General features: G+C 38.8%; 1 protein-coding gene across 9 annotated transcripts in view; it reads left to right on the forward strand.

Annotated features, from left to right (window-relative positions):
- Positions 1-20,231, forward strand: part of OPN5 (opsin 5) — a 44,350-nt gene that overhangs the window by 8,243 nt on the left and 15,876 nt on the right. For 5 of the 9 annotated variants that reach the window (NM_181744.4, XM_017010416.2, XM_017010411.2 and 2 more), the window contains 3 exons: positions 1,528-1,698; positions 4,955-5,289; positions 17,880-18,121. In NM_181744.4, coding sequence (NP_859528.1) covers positions 1,528-1,698; positions 4,955-5,289; positions 17,880-18,121 — 748 coding nt within the window. Of the gene's footprint in view, positions 1-1,527; positions 1,699-3,417; positions 3,498-4,167; positions 4,842-4,954; positions 5,290-17,879; positions 18,122-20,231 lie in introns of those variants that run through there. The other 4 variants (NR_033806.2, XM_017010410.2, XM_047418325.1 and 1 more) reach the window with 4 other exon arrangements.

Below are 20,231 nucleotides of genomic sequence, written 5' to 3' on the forward strand. Positions count from 1 at the left end.
ATATATAAAACAGGTGAAAAAAATTATCTTTCCTGATTGACAGAAGGTGGAGCATGGAACCTTGGTTGCTTAATATTTCTTTCCCTAAATGACCTACCTACTTCCCCTTCAGGGGACACTCTCTCTCTCTTTCTCTCTCTCTGTGTCTCTCTCTCATAGAGGAGCTCCATGAATCCTCTCTGGTCTAGGCATGAACACATGAAAATTGCTGGGCTATATAATTATCCTCCCTCCTTCACCTCCCCCATCCTATTGCTTCCCTGTGAATACTCAACTTTCTGGGGTTTCTTAAGGACTTTTTATTCATTGATAGTAACAAGGTAATAGTAAAAGACTAAATATGTTCTATTTTTTAAATAAATAAAAGGACAAATTCACATTTCAGAGAAAGTTGTCTACATCATTCTTTAAAATGTGTTTGAAACTCACACTTTCTTTCTCCAGTGCTCTTTATAATCTTTATTCTCCAGAGTGCTATTAAACCTCCTCCTTTTCTATATTCACAGTAGCTAGTTCACTGCTTCTCTAATTAAGGCTTTCTCTGATATATAACCTCTCTCTTTCCCCTCCCAAACCCTTTCATAGACACTTAACTCCTAAAGTACAAGGTTATCTTGGGGTGTTAGAAACCATATTCCTCCTAGAAGGATGCAGCTTCCAAAAGAAAGAAAAAAACCAAATTCCCCTTTTCATTATAAGGAATCTCATGCCTTATACAGGTTCTAAAAGGCCCCACTTGGAGGAGGATGAGGTGGAAGGAAATCACTGTTTTGCATATTATTTTTGTCTTTTTCCTCCTTTTCTTCATTTTCTCTTTCTCCATCTCTTCTTTCCTCTATTCATTGAGACAATTTTCTGGAAGTTTTATTATTAAGAAAAGTTGCATTGGTCCCAGGAATGTAAGTATGTTTCAAAAACAAATCTATTAATAACCAGCATTAACTGATTCCATGAGAAAAAATGTTATGATCACCTCAGTAGATGCCAAAAAAGCATTTAATAAAACTTAACATCTATTTCTGGTAAAAAAAAAAAAAATCTTAACAGACTAGTGTGAGAAAGAACTTCTCTAGAATAGAAAAGTTGTGCTTGAAGAGTGTATTTTCTCTCAGAGATTTTATTCATTTCCCCTTTCTCTAAGCCTTCGAATGAAAGACTGCAACAACATGTTAAAAGTGACCAGATCGTTGTCACTGGCTACTAGTATCATGTCTGTAATTCCTGAAGCCAGGTCTCTTTGAGACAGTTTTTTCAAAAGTAATAATTACTTTAAAGTTTTCCTTCTATATCCTTTCACTGTCTTTGGCTATTGGGATGACTGAAAGTCCTCTCTGGGTAGCTTCAAACTGAGTTTATTCATAGATAACTGCTGGGCTTTTATTAATCTAGGAAATCTGTGTAATCAAGGGTGTGTGTGTGCGTTCACATGTGTCCCCGTGCTTTAGGGGAGGAGGTTCAGGTGAGTTGAGGTAGGTGGGGAAATAGTAACCAGAGGAACGTCTGTTGACAAGTCACTTGGTGCTCTAGTTGTAGGCAAGCCGTTCACCATCATCTCTTGCTTTTGTCACCGCTGGGTGTTTGGCTGGATCGGCTGCCGCTGGTATGGATGGGCTGGATTTTTCTTTGGCTGTGGAAGCCTTATCACCATGACTGCTGTCAGCCTGGATCGATATTTGAAAATCTGCTATTTATCTTATGGTAAGTTGGCAGGTTTCTCATTCCCTGACAGTTAAAGCTAGGTGGATTGAGTGTTAGAACTGTACATATTTTATGCAGGTAATAAACAAAGATTATGAATAACCTCAGAGATCAAGAATATTTCTATTTATAGCCTATCATCTTGTTCTGACATGTTTAAGGATTTTAACCTATGTCAAAGTAGATTTCTTTTAATACATATTTTATAGTAATGTCTGGTGTTTGGTTATAATGCTTTAAAAAAGTACCATTTTCTTGTATAGTGTGTAAGCTTCCATCATGTTTCCCACGCAAACAAAAGAAATAAAGTGCATCGAAAGGGTGTTAAGTCCAAGATGTTTAGCTCATTCCCCACCTAGGAAGTGTAATTATAAGAAAAGCTGTTTAAGATTCTCCCTTAGGACTCACGCTCCCTGTGATTTCAGAGATAAGGAATTCCAAAAAGTTCACCTCCAAGTTAGAGTCATGTAGCTGTTTCTGCATGAAAGGACACACATGTAGAAATATCACTCAACATATTTTTTTTTGTGGTGTTGGTTGGTAGAAAGATGAGTGATTACAAGAATTGGTGAATCAGCAGAAAATAAGTTTCCAGGGACTAAATATATGTTTTTTAATGATTAGACCATTCTACAGGTTAAAAATAATTTCTACTACATTTGTTTGTTGGAGCTCTCGGAATTTATCAAACCTGAAAGAATTGCATTTGGGTCTTTAAGTTTAATATTGAGAACCAGGCACAACCAAGGAACAGTACTGACTTCCTCTGGATAAAGTTGCTTTGATTGTCAATCTGTCAATTAGAGTGGTTGTGATGGACGACAGACTGTGGTGTCAGAGCAGGGCCTGGAGACTGAGGTGGGAAAAATCAAGTTGACCTGACACTGTCAATGTGGTAGAATTTCCCTTTGTATTGTTATAGTTTACATCCCCAAACTCCAAAGAATCCATGCTTGGGTGGGTGGGAGGCGGGGGCTTGTGAGCCATTCTCTTCATCATCCAGCACTACGTTTTTTTTTTTTTTTTTAAAGTTTACATCTCCTTTTTTAAACATTTAAAACTTCCAATAGAAATAGCTTGAATCAAAATTTCCAGTAAGATATAAAATATACAACTATACATATTCTGTGTGACGTCAACATCTAATTCTTTCTATAGACTTATTTTTGTTCATACCAAAGAGATTTTAAATTTAACTATAGATTTTATAGATAAGAAGGCAAAAAAGTTAAACTTCCTGAGAGTGTTTGAGGAATACTAAACCCTGATACCTCTGTTTTTAAATATTTTCTTGAGTTTAGGCTTTGTCAGTTAAAGAGATGATGCCGCCCACTGCCAGGATCATTGCAGGTCATAACTCCATATGTGGGAACTGTGTATATTTTCCAGCTTCTTCTAAGGTTGAACCTCAGTAGTGTGGTTTCATCATTTAATCTGATGCACTATTAAACCCTCCACACAGCGTCCCAGAATGTTGGAATTAGAAGGTCGCTTGGGGATGTGTAGACTTTTCTCCCATGTAACGTGGTAAACTGTTTTAAGGCATCCCTGAGAGATGACCACTTGGCCTCTTCTTGAATAATTCCAGTGACCAGTGACGGGGAGCTTACTACTGCACAAGGCAGCCCATTCTCTGATTGGTCTGCTCTCATTGTTACAATGTTATTCCTTATATTAAGACAAAACTGCCTCCCAGTAACCTCCACCCATTGGTCCTAGTTCTGACTTCTGGAGCAACACAGAACCAATCTACTAATCTACTCCCTCCTGTACTTGACAGCCTTTCACCATACTGGAATGTAAGTATAAAACACCTCACAAGTAACCCTAACCATAAATGCTTATACGTATGCCTATGCACATTCCCATGAATATATGTGATTACCTGTGCCAATGTTTTATCAGTTTTAGTGGAGAAACAAGAGCTGACTTATATTGTGGCTACATGATTGCCACCCCTATCTGGTTGGGCATGAAATTTGCATTTCATGACACAAAATGCCATGTATTTGAAAAAAATGGAGACAATAGAGTATAGAAACAATCTGTTATATTTCTTATTAGCGCTAAATGAGATACACTTACACAGGAGTAAAATAATTCATGTTAATATAGCACTTTCTAGTTTGCAAAGCAGGCCCCTTACATTATTTTATTTAACCCATATGCAATATAGTCTTGCATGCACAAGGTCAGTCAAAGACTAGACATAGAAGAATTAGGCCTGACCGACTTTCCAAACCTCACATTGCACTAAGCAGAGGCAGGCCCTGAGTCTATATTGAAGTAATCATTTAGCTTTTGTTGAATATATTTTGATATTTCTTCTCTGCTAACACAAAACCAAGGCAGTAAAGAGTCACTTTCCTGGCCCTCTTCGTTCGAGGTGATGAGTGAGGTGTGAAGGTAATTTCCTGTGGAGGCTGCTGCACTAAATCAGGCCGACCTGTCTTTGGTGGTTGTGTTGAATTCTGAAAATGATCACTAGTGCTTTACAGCTTTTCTTAGATGACTGCACTATTTCCTCCGCTTGGAATTCTCTTTTGGTTAACAGAAACTAGTGCTGAAAAACGGAGCTCATTTTTTGTCTTCCTGAAAATATCTTCACAGAATTACTTTGCAGAACATGATGCAACCTACCTAGATTCTCTGCCTCTCCCGCTGTGGCTGTGTGAGCGCGATTGTTGTGTGAATGACGTTTGAAGATTCCAAACCTGCTCCACAAATTACTAAACACAGTCAAGGACTTTAATCTCAAACCATAGTGTCATGATCACGAGCCACCAAGCCCCTTCCACAAGTTCTTAGGAAGCCAGATAAGACTAGCAACACAAAAGCTGTTAGCAGGAAGGGCGTTTTAAAGACACAAGCCATGTTTTGTGCTTCCTCACCTCCCAGAAGGATTTTCCCTGGATGATCCACTAACACACCCTTTCCGAGATGTTTTCTCAAGGGCCTCCATTGTCTTCAGCATCCTCTCATCTCTTTCCTGTCCCTTTTCCCAGCTGTTGTCACTTCTCCCTCCCAAAGCTCCCAGATGCCTAGAGAAAACCTTCCAATTGTGTTCTCCTGGAGAAAGGCCCAAGCTCTGGAACTTTTTTCCGTTTACTCCACTCTCCCTCAGGCTTCAGTTATCTGCCCAGGTCTCCCAGAAATCAATGGAATAAATCTTTGGAGGTGGAATTTGACATATCGAGGGGAGGTATCTGGGTGTAGGGCAGATTACATCCGGGTAATGCTTTTCTTCCGCCTCCAGGGGTTTGGCTGAAAAGAAAGCACGCCTACATCTGCCTGGCAGCCATCTGGGCCTATGCTTCCTTCTGGACCACCATGCCCTTGGTAGGTCTGGGGGACTACGTACCTGAGCCCTTCGGAACCTCGTGCACCCTGGACTGGTGGCTGGCCCAGGCCTCGGTAGGGGGCCAGGTTTTCATCCTGAACATCCTCTTCTTCTGCCTCTTGCTCCCAACGGCTGTGATCGTGTTCTCCTACGTAAAGATCATTGCCAAGGTTAAGTCCTCTTCCAAAGAAGTAGCTCATTTCGACAGTCGGATCCATAGCAGCCATGTGCTGGAAATGAAACTGACAAAGGTAAGTGCACTAATATTTTACACATGTGTTTTCTGACTACTTACAACTTCATAGGGTACAAAGGATAGGGAACGTTGGAGACTGAGAGAACTTAGAATCTCTATTCTTTACGTAATTCTGAACTTCGTTGATGATTGTCTAAGCCTTTCTTTGTGGTATCTCTCTCCTCTTTCTGTCTCTGTACCCCCACTTCTCTCTTCTCTCTCTCTCTCTCTCACACACACACACACACACACACACACACACACATTTTCAATATCTACAAAATTTGTATAACCCATCAATTTGGGGCTTATCTGCTCTGCTGAATAGGGTACTATTGATTCATATTCATTATTTCAGTAATAAGAATAACTTTTATGAATCATACAATGCCTCACAGTATTTTCTGCGTTGCATGGACTTTGGGACATCATTAGGGACATTCTACCACTTGAATTATTTATAGAGTAAGAGTTTACCATGTGTGCTTTCCCATGGGAAGCTTGTGTTATGAACACGAGCAGTTTCTGCAGGCTTGAGTACCTTGGTAAACGGTAGTTTCAGAGGTGACAGTTCTTTAGGTATTGTGGAGTAAGGAAAAGAACAAGACTAGAGTTTAATCCCATCACCAGTACCTGCCAAGTTTGTGACCTAGAACTAGATATTTAGCTTTCTTGAATCCCTATTTCCTCACTTGCATAACAGGAATAGTGATATCTGTCTTATTGGGTTACGGTGGGAATTCAAAGAGATAAAGTATATTATTCTGTCATCTGGTGCATAGAAGGTGTTAGAGCAACCATGGTTTCTCCTTTTTCCTTATGCCTGTTAGGAATTACTGGTAAAGTCTAAAGCAGTGGTCTTCACATGTTCATGATTTTTTGCCCTTGTACTGAAAAAATATTTTCCAACACATGCCATCAATATAAATGACATACAGGTAATACCATCAAGCTTTGTATTAAATATTAGCACCCCCTAATTTAACCCCCCAAATTTTCTCTTCTATTTTAAAGATAAAAATAAAGGTAGATTGAAGTTATAATTATTTCTTCCTGTATCCCAATCAATCACGTTGATTGGTATCCTACCCTCGAGTATTCTCATGTTCACTTTGGAGACCACTAGTCTCAGGGACCCAGAGAAACACAGTTTCCCCCAGATAAGAGATGGCTTTTTAGTAAGTCAGAGACTTGGTTCTGGTAATATGCCTCTCTCCAAATTGCAGAATTTTTGGAGTTATACAAAGATCTCTTGGTTGCATATTGTATTAGTCTGCTATCACACTGCTAATGAAGATGTACCCAAGATGGGATAATTTATAAAGGAAAGAGATTTAATTGACTCACAATTCCACATGGCTGAGGAGGCCTAGCAATCATGGCAGAAGGCAAATGAAGAGCAAAGTCATGTCTTATATGGTGGCAGGCAAGAGAGCATGTGCAGGGGAACTCCCTTTTATAGAACCATCAGATCTTGTGAGACTTATTCACTATCATGAGAACAGCATGAGAAAGTCCTGCCCCCATGATTCGATTACCTCTCACTGGGTCCCTGCCATGACACATGAGCATTATGGGAGCTACAATTCAAGATGAGATCTGGGTGGGGGGACAGCCAAACCATATCACATACTGTGAGCTAGATTCCTGATGGCTCCAGTTGACTGTTATGCTCAAACTCTACATGCCAAGTAGAGGAAGCTTTGAGGGATATTTTCATCACTCTAAATCTATACTGATAGCTTAATAATAGAACAGTTCTTGGACAAAAATGCAGACTCAGGAAGCATGAACTTCTTCTGTCTTATAATTGGCTATAAAGTAGGAAAATATTTTCATAAAATGAAGCATTATGAGTTAGGTTCTTCATTTCTAGCTCTCCCTTTAGCTCTTACCTGCATCTTTCAAAAAAGAAATTTAAATAAATCAATCCTAGTTAAAGTTGAATTATATTTAATCAAAATCCTACTTTGTACCAGGTACTATTTTAGAAACTGGGCAAATGTACCAATGATGAAAAATTTGCTTTTCAGTAGTTTATGGAAGTGTGCCCAAGAAATGATGTGCAGACATTCATCACACTGGTATGTGACGTCGAAGTTTACTTTGCATACAGTTGCTGAAATGTCTCAAAATGTGCTTTCTTCTTGCCATCCCCCTCACCTCTCTGTTTTCCATCCCCTATTATGTCATTGGCCTTGACACTTTGTTGGCCTTGCTCAATAAATCTGGGTCCTGATTGCCATGAGGCTCTTCTTCAGTTTCTCCCAGTTTGTTACCCATCATCTTCTCTCCTGTCAGTTGAACTGCTCAACTTGACCCCCTCACATTCTAGCATCTTGTCCTCTTGTGTATTCTTGAGGAGTGAGAAGCTTGTCTAGTCAATGCTTCTGGAACTCATTATACATATGAGGTACAGCTCAGCATATACCATTTAATTTGATTTGTTATTATTCTGCTTGACTTGGACTGGGTAGATCAAATAGGCTTGCCCTAGATCAGGTTAAATGAAATGTTAAACAAAGTGTAGGAATACATATGTGTAATTTTGTTATGTATATTCTTTTAATTTATATACTAAATGATATTATAGCACATAATATGTAATATTATATTAAGAACATGTCTATATTTTATTTGTTTATATAAACCTGTATTAAAATAACCTAAATACAAACATCTCTAATTATTAATATTTGTGCAGAAAATTTAAGCCAAAATTCAACCCATATTGAAAAATGAACCTAGTCAATGTTTAGACCAGTCAGTACTTCTAGAACTTATTATACATATGAGTCAATGCTTTTGAAGGTCATTATACATATGAGGTATAGCTCAGCACATATCCCATTTAATTTGATTTGTTGTATTATTCCGCTTGACTTGGACTGGGTAGATCAAATAGTTAGGCTCACTCTAGACCAGATTAACCAAAGAAATGTTAAATGAAGTGTAGGAATACATATATATATAATTTTGTTACATATATATGTATATTCTTTTAATTTATATACTTAATGATATCACATAATATGTAATATTATATTAATATGTCTATATTTCATTTATTTATATAAATCTATATTAAAATAACATAAACACAAGTGTTTCTAATTATTAATATTTGTGCAGAAAATGTAAGACAAAATTTAACTGATACTGAGAAACAAACATAACTACTGTGACATCTTCAGTACTAAATTGAAACTATTTTTAACTACTACTCAATTTTGACCTTGATTTTTCTACTGAGTAAAAATAAGTAGAAACTGCCTTATATTGGGCCCTTCCACAGCCTTAGAAACCTTTTTGCTCATTTAGCTACTGCTCAGGATTGTCAAATTGCTTGCTCTCTTGGTACTTCTGATTTTCAGAACAGCCTGGTCTAAAAGCTGATTACTTAAAGTTTACCTTACGGGATTCTGAGATCAAAATCATTTAGTTTTCTGTGTACTTTAATTATTTCTAGCTGGGTTATGACTGGGGCCAGTATTCTGCCGGTCTGATCTCGTGAAGCTAAAAGTTGGCATTCTGTCTGCAAACCTTTCTCTACTTTGTAGCTTTTTTCTAATTAATTTTTAAAAATGATGGTTTTGCTAGACTTTTGTAGCAGCCTGAAATTTCACAGGCTATAAACAGAGGTGTGATGTATATATATATATATATATATACACACACACACACATGATATACATGATATACATGATATACATATACATATGATTATATTTCTATGACTCAGCATAAGCTCATTTCTATGCTTGCATTTGACCTTGTAAAACTGATTTCTTATTGGACAGTCAAGATAAATTCAGTGAAATCAGTAATTTCTCTCTTCTTCCCAGGATTACCTAAAAGTTTCAGGAAGGTTTTCACAATGCCAGTGCTAATGGGTTGGGGACTCTTGGTCTGGGTGTTGTCATTCATTGACCCTGGCATTGCTGAGATATTTAGGGTTCCTTGTGGTCTTAGTTATAGTTTTCATGGGTCACTTTGCATCTTTGTTGTTCCAACTATAAGTCATCTTTAGGCTCATCAGCACTGTAAGCTACTTCCCCACCCTTCCGCTGCAACCCTTCCGGTGCATCTTGGGTCTTGGCTGGGGCCCTGGGAAGTGAGGCACATGTTTTCTGCTTTCACATCCCTGAGAGTTCTGTTGTTCTTCCACCCTGACCCCGGGCCTTTGGTGTTCAGCTCAGTGGGGTAGGTTCAGGACACCTTCTCAGGGTAGGTTACCAACTCCTCTGATGTCCCCACTTGCCTTCAGGGTGTAGGTCCTGTACCTATTTGGGAGTGGGAAAACTGGCTCTTATTTCCATGTACATCCTCTAAATTTCTCACACAGTAATCTTAATGCCCTGAGTCCTTTAAGCCTCTAATTGTGGATATTCAAAGTCACTTTTTTTCCCCACACTCAAAACCCTTTTTCTCAATTATTTTCTCTCCTGGGAGTTTCAAATTTCTGTTTTAAAACTTAGAAGCTGGGAAATGAAGGTTTTACTTCTTTAGGTACTTTTGCTTCTAAAAATCTTCACACAATGCAGTGAATACTCTTGCTACTGATTAAATAAGGGGAATGGTAGAGTCACTGCCTGAGGGGTCCTTCCTGCCTGCTGCACAAAGAAAGACCATGGCATTACAATAAAGAGTTTAATAGCCATGAGGCCAGCCATGCCAGATGGGAAATGGAGTTAGTACCCAAATCAATTTCATCCAAAGTTTGTAAGTGAGGGGTATCTCAAAGGCTGTTTGGGTGAAGGGGTGGGGATTGCTATGCAATGGGTGCTTGCTACTGACTGGTTGGGTTGGGAATGAAATCATAGGGGGTGGAAGCTCTCCTCTTGAGCTGCGTCTGCCCAGGTGGGGCCACAGGAGCCTTGGGGTCCAGGTGGAGCTATGAGTGTCAGACATGCAAAAAACTTGAAAAGATATCTCAAAAGGCCAATCTGAGGTTCTACAATACTGATGTTATTTGCAGGAGTAATTGGGGAAGTTGCATATCTTGTAACCTCCAGAATAATGGCTGACAATCATTTAGGTCTGCACCTTAGCAGAACTCAGTGTCCTCCCATTCCCCCAGTTTGACAGCTTCCCATTAGCTTTTCAAAAGTGCTTGAATTTGGGGAAAGGCCTGTTATCATTTAAACTTGAGCCTAAATGTCTCTCAAAGTCAGCCTGGCACCCAATCCCAGGAATAATTAAAGGAAAGTCAAGATGGGGGTGTTAGAACAGCTCAGTTCACTGTTGTAGTTTTTCTTACTGATACAATTTTTGCAAAGGCAGTTTCAGTACAATGACAGGAAGACAATCCCAGAAGCATGAATTAGTTTTTCTAAATATTATTATGCTATACATGTTGGTACTTCATAGTAATTCATTTAACACACATCAGTCATTTACAATGTTCCAGGTCTACAGTTATGATACAGATCCCCTGGGCACCTGAATTTCTCTTAGTGTCCCTTATTTATACCAGAAAGCCCTCCTGATTCTCCCTGGTTAAAGTCCACCTGCTATGTATGAGCCATCAGAGCACTTGGCACTTTATCTTTAGTGACACTGGTCATATTTTACTGAATCACATGTTTATAGCTCTCTTTTGTAAGACAGTAAGTGAGGCAAAGGAAAATGCTGTGGGTCCTGTTTGCCACTGGACCCTACAGCGTGGCACCTGCTAGCTGTTTAATCAAGATTACTTGAATAAATACATAATTGAATAAACTAAGTTAATCTAATTACCTTGATGAATGTTAAGAGGTCCCTTGAACTCTGGCTCTAGGGCCTCTGTTTCTTTTATACCTGACAGGGCATTTTGCTTCACTTTGCTCTTTTACATTGACTGTGAAATCTTTCTAAAACTCTTAAACATAAAGCTCCATTTCCCTTAAATGACTCCTCCCTTTTATAACTCATCAAATGTTATTTATCATTGAAGGATCAGATTCAGAAGACCCCCTGTGTGGACTCTAAGGGCAGTTCATGGGAAAGTTGAACTGTATTGCTTTAAAAAACCCCCAAAACCAATTAATTAATTACATCCCTCTGTTCTTAGCTTAAATGTCACTTCCCAGAGAAGCATTTCCAAAAATTGAATTCAGATCCTCCTATTACAATGTTTCATTGCAGCCTTTACGTTATCTTCTTGGAACATATCACAATTTTTAATTAATTTACGATTTCATACCTATTTTGGGGATTATTTGTTCATTTCCCTTTTTTTCTTTGTTACCACTACTTGATGAGACCTGAGCGGGTAACAACCATGTTTTTTTTTTCTCTCTGTGTCCCCAGGACCTAATACAATGATTCATACATGGTAAGTGCTTAATATATATTTGTTGAAGGAAGGAAGGAAGGATTACTTCAGAGCAATTTAATCATGAAAAAGTTTTAAACTAGGAGTCAATCCCAATTTTGCCACTAGCTCCTTGAGAGGTGTTACATAGTCAATGTGTGTTTTTTATTTTGCCTGCCATAGGCTGAAAGCCTTCTGTATCTGAGGAATTTCCAACGTTTTGTGCCCTGCTTAGAGTGAGAGGAGAAGCACTGTGCCTCTTAATTTAAAAGACGCTGAAAAGAACAGCTACTCATTTCCCAGAATTCCCCTACAGCTATGGACTTGGGCACCAGCCCTCAGTGTGTCCCAGAAACTAATGATATGGCATCTAGGGGCAGGGAATTCTTTCCTGAGGCCATGGCTACAGCAGCAGGAGTTTCTGCATCAGAACCAGTTCTCAGTCACAGTTTTGGGTAGCATTTCTCTCTGCTTGATCTCAATGTAAACTGCAGCTTCCCAGTGTTACTTTGTGTTAACCAGTATCCTTTAAATAAATGTATTTTCTATCTCACTCACCCATAGTCAACTTCTGCTGCTTGTAACTCAGCATCTTGATGAATTCACCTAAAGCAAACCATTTAATCCTGCTGGGCCTTAGTTTTCTCATCTGTGAAAGTGGAGGAAGAGAATGAAATGATATCTCAGTTACCTTCTAAACTCTGCATGTCTATGAAAATGACTAGATTTGTTCAATTGTTTAAAGGTCTCTGGCAATGGCTATTGTTACTAGAACCACATGGCCTTCCAACCTGAGTATTTGTTCCTCTCCAAGCCGCACATCCCCACTTCAAGGGCTTTGGGCCATCTATAACTAACAGTGAAGTCTCTCCTGTTTTGTTGAACCAGATACTTGTAAGTTATTTTCTGTTCTTTAAGCCAGCCACTGCCTAGTCAGGAAATATTGTATTCAGTTTTGGACCAAAACCCCAAAACACAGATGCATAGAGTGACATGACCTAATTTACTGCCTCTCTTTTCAGTTGCAGCTTTTGCTTGTTTATAGAGTAGCGGTATTTTAAGATTCGAGAAAATTGCAATTGGGAAGTGTGAAATTCTTGTTTTTCTTTACTTGTTTTTTTCTTTTTTTGAAGTATGAATTCATGTTTATTGCTTAGATCACAATGAGGGTTAACAGATGGAAGGTACACCAAAGATGTCAGAAATTTTTTCTTTACAAGTTTATGGAGGAAGGTTTAGGATAGTTGACCTTAATTATCATTCTGTGGATAAAATAGAAGGAAGGAAGAAATTCCAACTAGACACACTCAAAGCTGTCAAATTTCTTAATTTCTTAAAAGGTAATGTGAAAGCTAAGTAAGTGTCACCACTCCTATTTGTATGTGTATGTGAAGGAACCAAAGAAGGTAGGTCACAGTTGTCAAGTTCCCTCCCTTCCTGCTTGCCACTGGTAGAATCACTCAATGACAGATGGCTCTATACGTGGAAGGTAGTAGTCTCATAACTGGAATTACTGTCTTTTAATATTATTTTCTTACTGGCCAGAATCAAATCTAGCTAGATCCAAGCTAGAAAAACAAAATCTTGTCACCCGCATGCTCCTGTCAATTGTGCTGTCTCCTGAAAGAGGCAGAACGTGCATTCTTCCTGTTCCCTAATGCATAGAGGTGATCTCTCCTGGGAACATTTTCTCACCCTAGCCACTGAAATATCTTTGTTATCCCCATTCTAATTGGTTCTGTAATGTGATTCAATCTTGTTATTGATGGGGAACTTATTTCATCTCTTTGGCCCTCTTTTTCAACCTTACTTTCACATCAATTCTGTATCTTCTAATCTATTTTATTATTCAAGGTAGCATGCAGCTTCAAGTATTAGCTGAAGTCTTATTTGCATCTGGGCAAAGGAGCCTGGAGAGAGGAGCTCGGCACCCCCTCTGAAATAGTTGTTCCTAGAAAATCAGCGATTCTGCCCCACTCACACTGCTCAGTCGAGCTGAACCATGACTGGTATCATGGAGTTACTCAGAGTATCTCCATGCCAATGACTTTTCTCACTATTCCACACTGCCTCAGCACATTGAAAGGAGGGAAACTCCTTCTTAGAAACATTACCTGCTGGAATGCTTCAGATGTATTAGACCCAGAGGCATAGCCTTGGAGGATTTACTTTCAACCACATTATTCGATTATTGCTTTAATTGGTTAATTAATTGGAATTGAGCAATTATGGACAACACTGCTTTTGTGACACAATACCAGCTTGAACTGGCACTGGAAACTGGCTATATCCCTTGGTCCTCTGTAGCATGATGTACTTAAAATGAACTGGGTTGCAGTTGTGTGATTCTTTTGTAGAAGCTAAACATGTACCCTGTGAATTTCCGCCCACAAAAATTGTCTAATTTAGGATTTGAAGTCTTACTGCTTTTTCAGTGACCTAAAAAGGCAGTGATAAAAGTGAAGTAATTAAAAAAAAATAAACAACTTAGAAAAAGTTGATGGGTACAGGAGCCTGTGTTAGAACTGGCTTAAGGATATCTGGAATGGAAATTTTAGAAAATAAAAATTAAGACACACTTAGAATTGAGGAAAGTCAAAAACAGACTGATGAAAAGATTAAATATATTCCAAGCTGAGTAGAAAATGCTGACAAAAACGGAGTGTAACATGAAAGTTTTGAAAACTTTCGTGGCCTATATCTTAAAATAGTTTTTACATTTAAATGTTTAATATTTTGTGGAGTATATTTTAAAATGGAAAGGTTATAGAAAGTGAATGTGCCTTATATTAACTTTGTATTCACTTCAGAAACATAAATAACATTGTGTAGTACTTTTTAGATCTAGCCTTTTATCCCTCTTTCTGCTTTAAACTCAATTTCTAAGTCTTTCAATTTAAAGTATTTAGATTTATTCTAATCCCAGAAAAACCACAGTGATTCATTTGCTATGTGTTTGTAAAACTGAAGTATATTTAATTCTTCTATGTCCTTTTAAGAAGGATAACATAATGCTAATGTTTTAAGTCTTTCCTGTTCCCCAATTGCACACTCCTCTAAAAGTAGAAAACACGTAAAATGTAGAAAATATTATGGACTAAGTGCTAATCTATTTTTTGTCAATGACTTTGGCAGCAACACAGAAAACAGCTTTTGGGATACTGTGAACTCATCATATGACTCACCAAAGAAGCAAAGATGGAGCTATGTTAAGTCCCTAGACATCTGCTAAAGCAAGCTTTATTTCTATAGTTAGTGTTTATTTGGGGATTTAGAAAAAGAAGGCCCTCACTGTGAGCCTTGAGGCATCCATTCCATTTACAAGCAAAAGTCACACAGACATAACCAAATAAAAATTTCTCCTGGGTAAGCTTCGTAGAAAGATAGGAAAGCAAGTCCAACAGGAGAGCTGCGTGTGCACATTGGGACTTGACAGTTTAACTGCTAAGCATAGGTGAGAATTTTGGCCAAGGACCGAAAGCAAGGTTGCAGATCATGCAGGAGATCTGGGCTCACTTGATTGATTTCCTGGGGATTCAGATTCTCTATTTGTAAAATGGAAAAAAAATTGATATTATTAATTGTGTGTGTGTGTGTGTGTGTGCTGCAGGTAATGTTCAGAGATGAGTTCTGAAATTCTTGGGTAGAATTTTAGAACCTGAGACTTTAGGTTAGACTTTAGATTTTCCATGTTTCATTCTTATACACACCACAGAGGCGGGTTCCTAGGGCCAACACACCCCATAGACAGGCTGTTCCACAGGTCAAGTAGACCGAAGGCTGTGGACCATTTCCTGCCTACCGCTAAAGTGTACTGAAATGCACGGGCACACATATGTCCTTGTTATGGGAAAAACACATCCAATTAACTGTCTAAAACAAAAAAGGCATTCGCAAATAGTGTTGCTTTAATTATTACTAATAAAACATTGTATGTCTCACTCCTTATCATTGATTCTCTGGAACTTGTCATGACCCTGATGTTGGGAATTGTTATTTTGCTTCTTAAAGTTGGGGACGGGAGTAAAAGGAAGTGATACCTGGCATAGCTCCATCCTTACTCAGAGATTATAGGAAAGTCCAATTTTCCTGGAACTCCTTTATAAAATCCCCAAGGTGGGTCTGATCAAGATCTTTTGAGTCATGCGCTGCTCTCTATTCCTATTATTGTAGCCAGGAATGTGTAGTCCTCTGCTTGGTCAGACTTGGGTCATGTGATGCCCATGATGTCAACTTCATAAAGCAGCCTAGCAGATTGAGGGGTGCTGGTGATGCTAAGGTAGAAGACATACACTGGGAAGGTGGAAACAAAGGTGAACAAACGAACAAACAAACAACCCCCCCAAAAAACAAATAGGTGTCTTACTACGCAGAAGACAGATTTGAATACAGTTTTCAAATTTATTTTACAGAAGGAATATCCTAGTAGATAACATTGTGTAAGGATACTTTGAAGTTAGTGTACGCTTTCTCAATTAGGGCCTGAAATAGCACAAGTTTTAAATAAAAACCAAAGTTTTGATTACATTTGTCAGTCTCAATACTCTAATTTCTTATTTCTTCTTTAGACTCTTGCCTAACCAAGCATGCTAAGAGTAGAAATTGTACATGGGCAGGGATGTGTCTGCTTTGTTTATTGCTTTATCCTTCACACAAAACATGTGGAAGATGCTCAGTAATACTTGTTGATTGAATAAATAAACAATGATCTTTCTACCTTCTATTTTTTTCTACGCCATTTTACTCTACAGGCTAATCCTCCTAAGCAGCGCTCTCATCATATTTCCTGCTCAAAAACCTACTAGTGTCTCAAAGAATACAGAATTAAGTGCAAGCTCAATAATGCCATACAAAACCCTGAATCTTTCTTTCCTGCCTCATTTCCCTTTGTTGCTTTCTCCTACCACAGTGAATTGCTCACTGGTTCCTATACAGACCTCTCACATTCCTGTCTATGCCTTTACTTTGTTTCACCACTATTTCTTTATTTCTACTTGCCAAGGTGCACGTCCTCTTTGTAACTCTCCTCAGTAGGCCAGGCGCGATGGCTCATGCCTGTAATCCCAGCACTTTGGGAAGCCGAGGTGGGTGGATCACCTAAGGTCGGGAGTTCGAGACCAGCCTGGCCAACATGGTGAAACCCTGTCTCTACAAAAATACAAAAATTAGCCAGGCATGGTGGTGTGCACCTGTAATCCCAGCTACTTGGGAGGCTGAGGCAGGAGAATCGCTTGAACCTGGCAGGCAGAGGTTGCAGTGAACCAAGATTGCGCCACTGCATTCCAGCCTGGGCAACAAGAGCGAAACTTCATCTCAAAAAAGAAACGCCCCAATTTGCCCCATAGGATGTATATGTGTCCTCCTCTGAGCTGCCACTTAAATAATATTCAGCCTTGTACTGTAGTTATTTGTATTCTAGAGGGATACAACTCAGGCTCTAGGTTTTACTGGTATTCCCCACAGCCCTAGGCATAGGGTCTTACACAAAGCACTTGCTAAAAAGAGTTTGTTGAATTGAAGTGAGATGATGCATAGGGGTCAGGCGGGTAGTTACACAGCACTAATTAGGACTACATTATTAAAGGGACTGAATTGCAGATGGCAAGAGACTTCTGAGGGTATTTAAAACCCTATCGCTAATTATTCTTTGGTCTGAAAATAAAGAGGCTCCGAAGGTGATTATAATTTTGTGAGAGTGAAAAGTGTTTTCTGAAAAAGTCTTGTTCCATACAACTATGCCACTTTGGCTGAATCTCAATGACTTATTTTACATTATGTACCTAGTGAATTTCCAGTACCTGAGTCTCACACCTGACAAAAATTTGAGTTAAAAGAAATAACATTTAATAGAAATTTCTGAACATGCAAATTAGAATTTCAAACTAGGGCAGAATTTCTGTTTCCTGAGGTGAATATGGATGATTTAAAATTTCATCAAGGTGAATATATTTTCCATCGAGTTTTTAAGTGAATGTGGGTTGAGAAGTCCAGAAATATTATGATTTCCTGCTCCATGGAGTCATAATCTGACAGCTATTTGAGGGTTATATTTTGGGTCTTTGGGTACATTCAAATTCTAGAGTGGATACTAGATAGGATGTGGTAAATGGGATAAAAAATTGTAATCACTTCTTTTGGCTGAACTTCTCAGAAGTCCATATGAAATGATTCCTATGTACAAAGTAAATGAAAACAATGACAGACTTTCTTGGCTGTGAGAGGTGACCTGATCCTTCTCCATACCCATCGTTTCAGACTCATGTCCTTTATCAGTCATCTTGATTCTTTTCTCTGTTGCTTTCCCTCATCAGGTAGCGATGTTGATTTGTGCTGGATTCCTGATTGCCTGGATTCCTTATGCAGTGGTGTCTGTGTGGTCAGCTTTTGGAAGGCCAGACTCCATTCCCATACAGCTCTCTGTGGTGCCAACCCTACTTGCAAAATCTGCAGCGATGTACAATCCCATCATTTACCAAGTTATTGATTACAAATTTGCCTGTTGCCAAACTGGTGGTTTGAAAGCAACCAAGAAGAAGTCTCTGGAAGGCTTCAGGTAAAACTTCAGAAGCTGGAAATGAATTACACTCTCTTTGTTTCAAAATCCGGCAGGGTTCAAGGTACTCAGATGTGCTGTCTTCTTAGGGTTAAAGCTCATCGCCTAGGAGTAGTGTAGGAAGGACTTTATTTTCTGTTTATCAAAATTCCTGAAATCAAGTAATCAGCTATGTAGAGGTTGTATGACATGGATAGATAGTGAGAAGTGATTCTTTTTTGATCGTGGAGCAACTAAGATACAGAGATGTGTCCATTTGAGCAACAACCACTATTTATGCATGGCTCGTACATTGCATATCTGGGACCAAATCCATTTTATTCCAAGAGTACTGTTTCACATGGCTTTGATCTCACAATAGAATGGTTCTCTTGTCTGGCACATCACTACCACTAGCTAAGGGCATAAAAGTTGGGCGGGCAGAGGAAGGAAGGGGAGAAGGGAGATGACATTTCTGCTCTGTGCCAGATTTCTTTTATTTTATTTCACAAGAGTCTTGGGTTATTCTTTTTCTTTGTCAGAAGAAGAAATTGAGGTTCAAGTAAGGTTAAAGTTAAGTAAGCTGCCCATGTTTAAACAGCCAGAAAGTAGCAGAGGAGAAATTCAAATTCAAGTCTACTGGGTTTCAAAATGTATCCTCCTTGGTTGATACTGTTTGTGCTACACAGTGAAAAGAGTTTGGGAATCCAGTACCATTTTTCCTAAAGACCCAAAAGGCTCAGGGTGAGTAAAGACTTGGGGGTTATTGGTGGTCTTCTGTGTCCACTCATGGTCAGTATTAGCAGTAAAAAGTGGAAGAGGCACCTGAATTCATGGTCTGAGGTGAGGGGTGTTGAGATGGCCCCTGGTCTCAGTGCTTTTTGTTCTTATTTACTTGATTTTCTAGATATTTCTTAATACTTCTTCCCTTGAATAAGTAAGGGACAGTAGACAAAAAAGTAGAACTAGCTATGAGAAGATGTGGGTTTTGTCTTGTTCTTTCATTGTGCCTGAGCAAGTGACAAATATTTTGGACTTTAGGTTCCTCACCACGGGTCAAATGAAAAGATGACAAAAAGGCACAAATAAAAGGTGGTATTATCATTATTGCTGTGGTATAGGGGAAGACACACACAATTTGAAGATAGAAGACCAGTATTTAATGTTCAGTTGTTTACAATACGTTTACAATAGCTCTATATCTTTGAACAAATTAACTACATAGAGCCTAGAATTGGAATAAACAGTAACAATACCCATCTCCTGAAGTTGTAAGAATTAAGCAAAATTGATGTGTGAAAAGATCTAAGGGACAATTGTTAGTAGTGCTTTCATATTTTTTGGTGGTTACTGCCTTTGCTGTTGAATTGAACAGTTAAATCCAAATGCTAAAAAGCATCTCTTTCTGAAGTAATAACACTATGTCCTCACTGGCTATTGATATTTTGTTATAAATGCAGATAGAGAGAATAATTTTAATAGAGCAGTTGTGGGAGAAAGTAACGGCACACTTCTTCATCTGAAGGAGATGGGAGTTTGACAGGAATGACTGCAAGCAAATTTCACGTGCCTCGTAATTTTGCCTCAGACTGCCTCTGTGTTCTGTACATTCACTCACAACTGTGAGCAGCCCATAAATATTCAATACTCAACAATGGGAAGAGGGAAATTTATGTGGGAGAAAGTGACTTAGGGCCACAGACCTTTGGGAAAATCAGTCAGGCAAGAGACAGCTCGGTTCACTGGTTCCTATTAGCCGTTTATACGAAATATAGCAATTGCTCTGCTGGAGGAGGACAGGGCTATTTCTTTTCTCTAGAGGGTCAGCTTTCGGGGAAAAAGCAGGCGGTAGAGCTGAAGCAGTGAGGAGCCCTTAGGTGCTAGAGGTTGAAGCCTCTTTGTGGAAGGAATGCTGAAGAGATATTGAGTCGTAGATTTTAGAAGGGGCTGCTTCAGAGAAGAGCAGACGGGTGGATGGTAGCCACCAGAGGTTTCTTTTTATCTTTACAAAGAAGCCAAAAAGAAACCTCATTTCTCTTTGTTGTTATTAAGAAGTTATGCAAGTGAGTAATGTGCAGGTCTGCAGAGCAAGGTTAAGTGATGTGAAGCTAGTTTAGAATTATTGCACAAA

This window comes from Homo sapiens, chromosome 6 (genome assembly GCF_000001405.40).
Source record: "Homo sapiens chromosome 6, GRCh38.p14 Primary Assembly".
Lineage (NCBI taxonomy): Eukaryota > Metazoa > Chordata > Mammalia > Primates > Hominidae > Homo > Homo sapiens.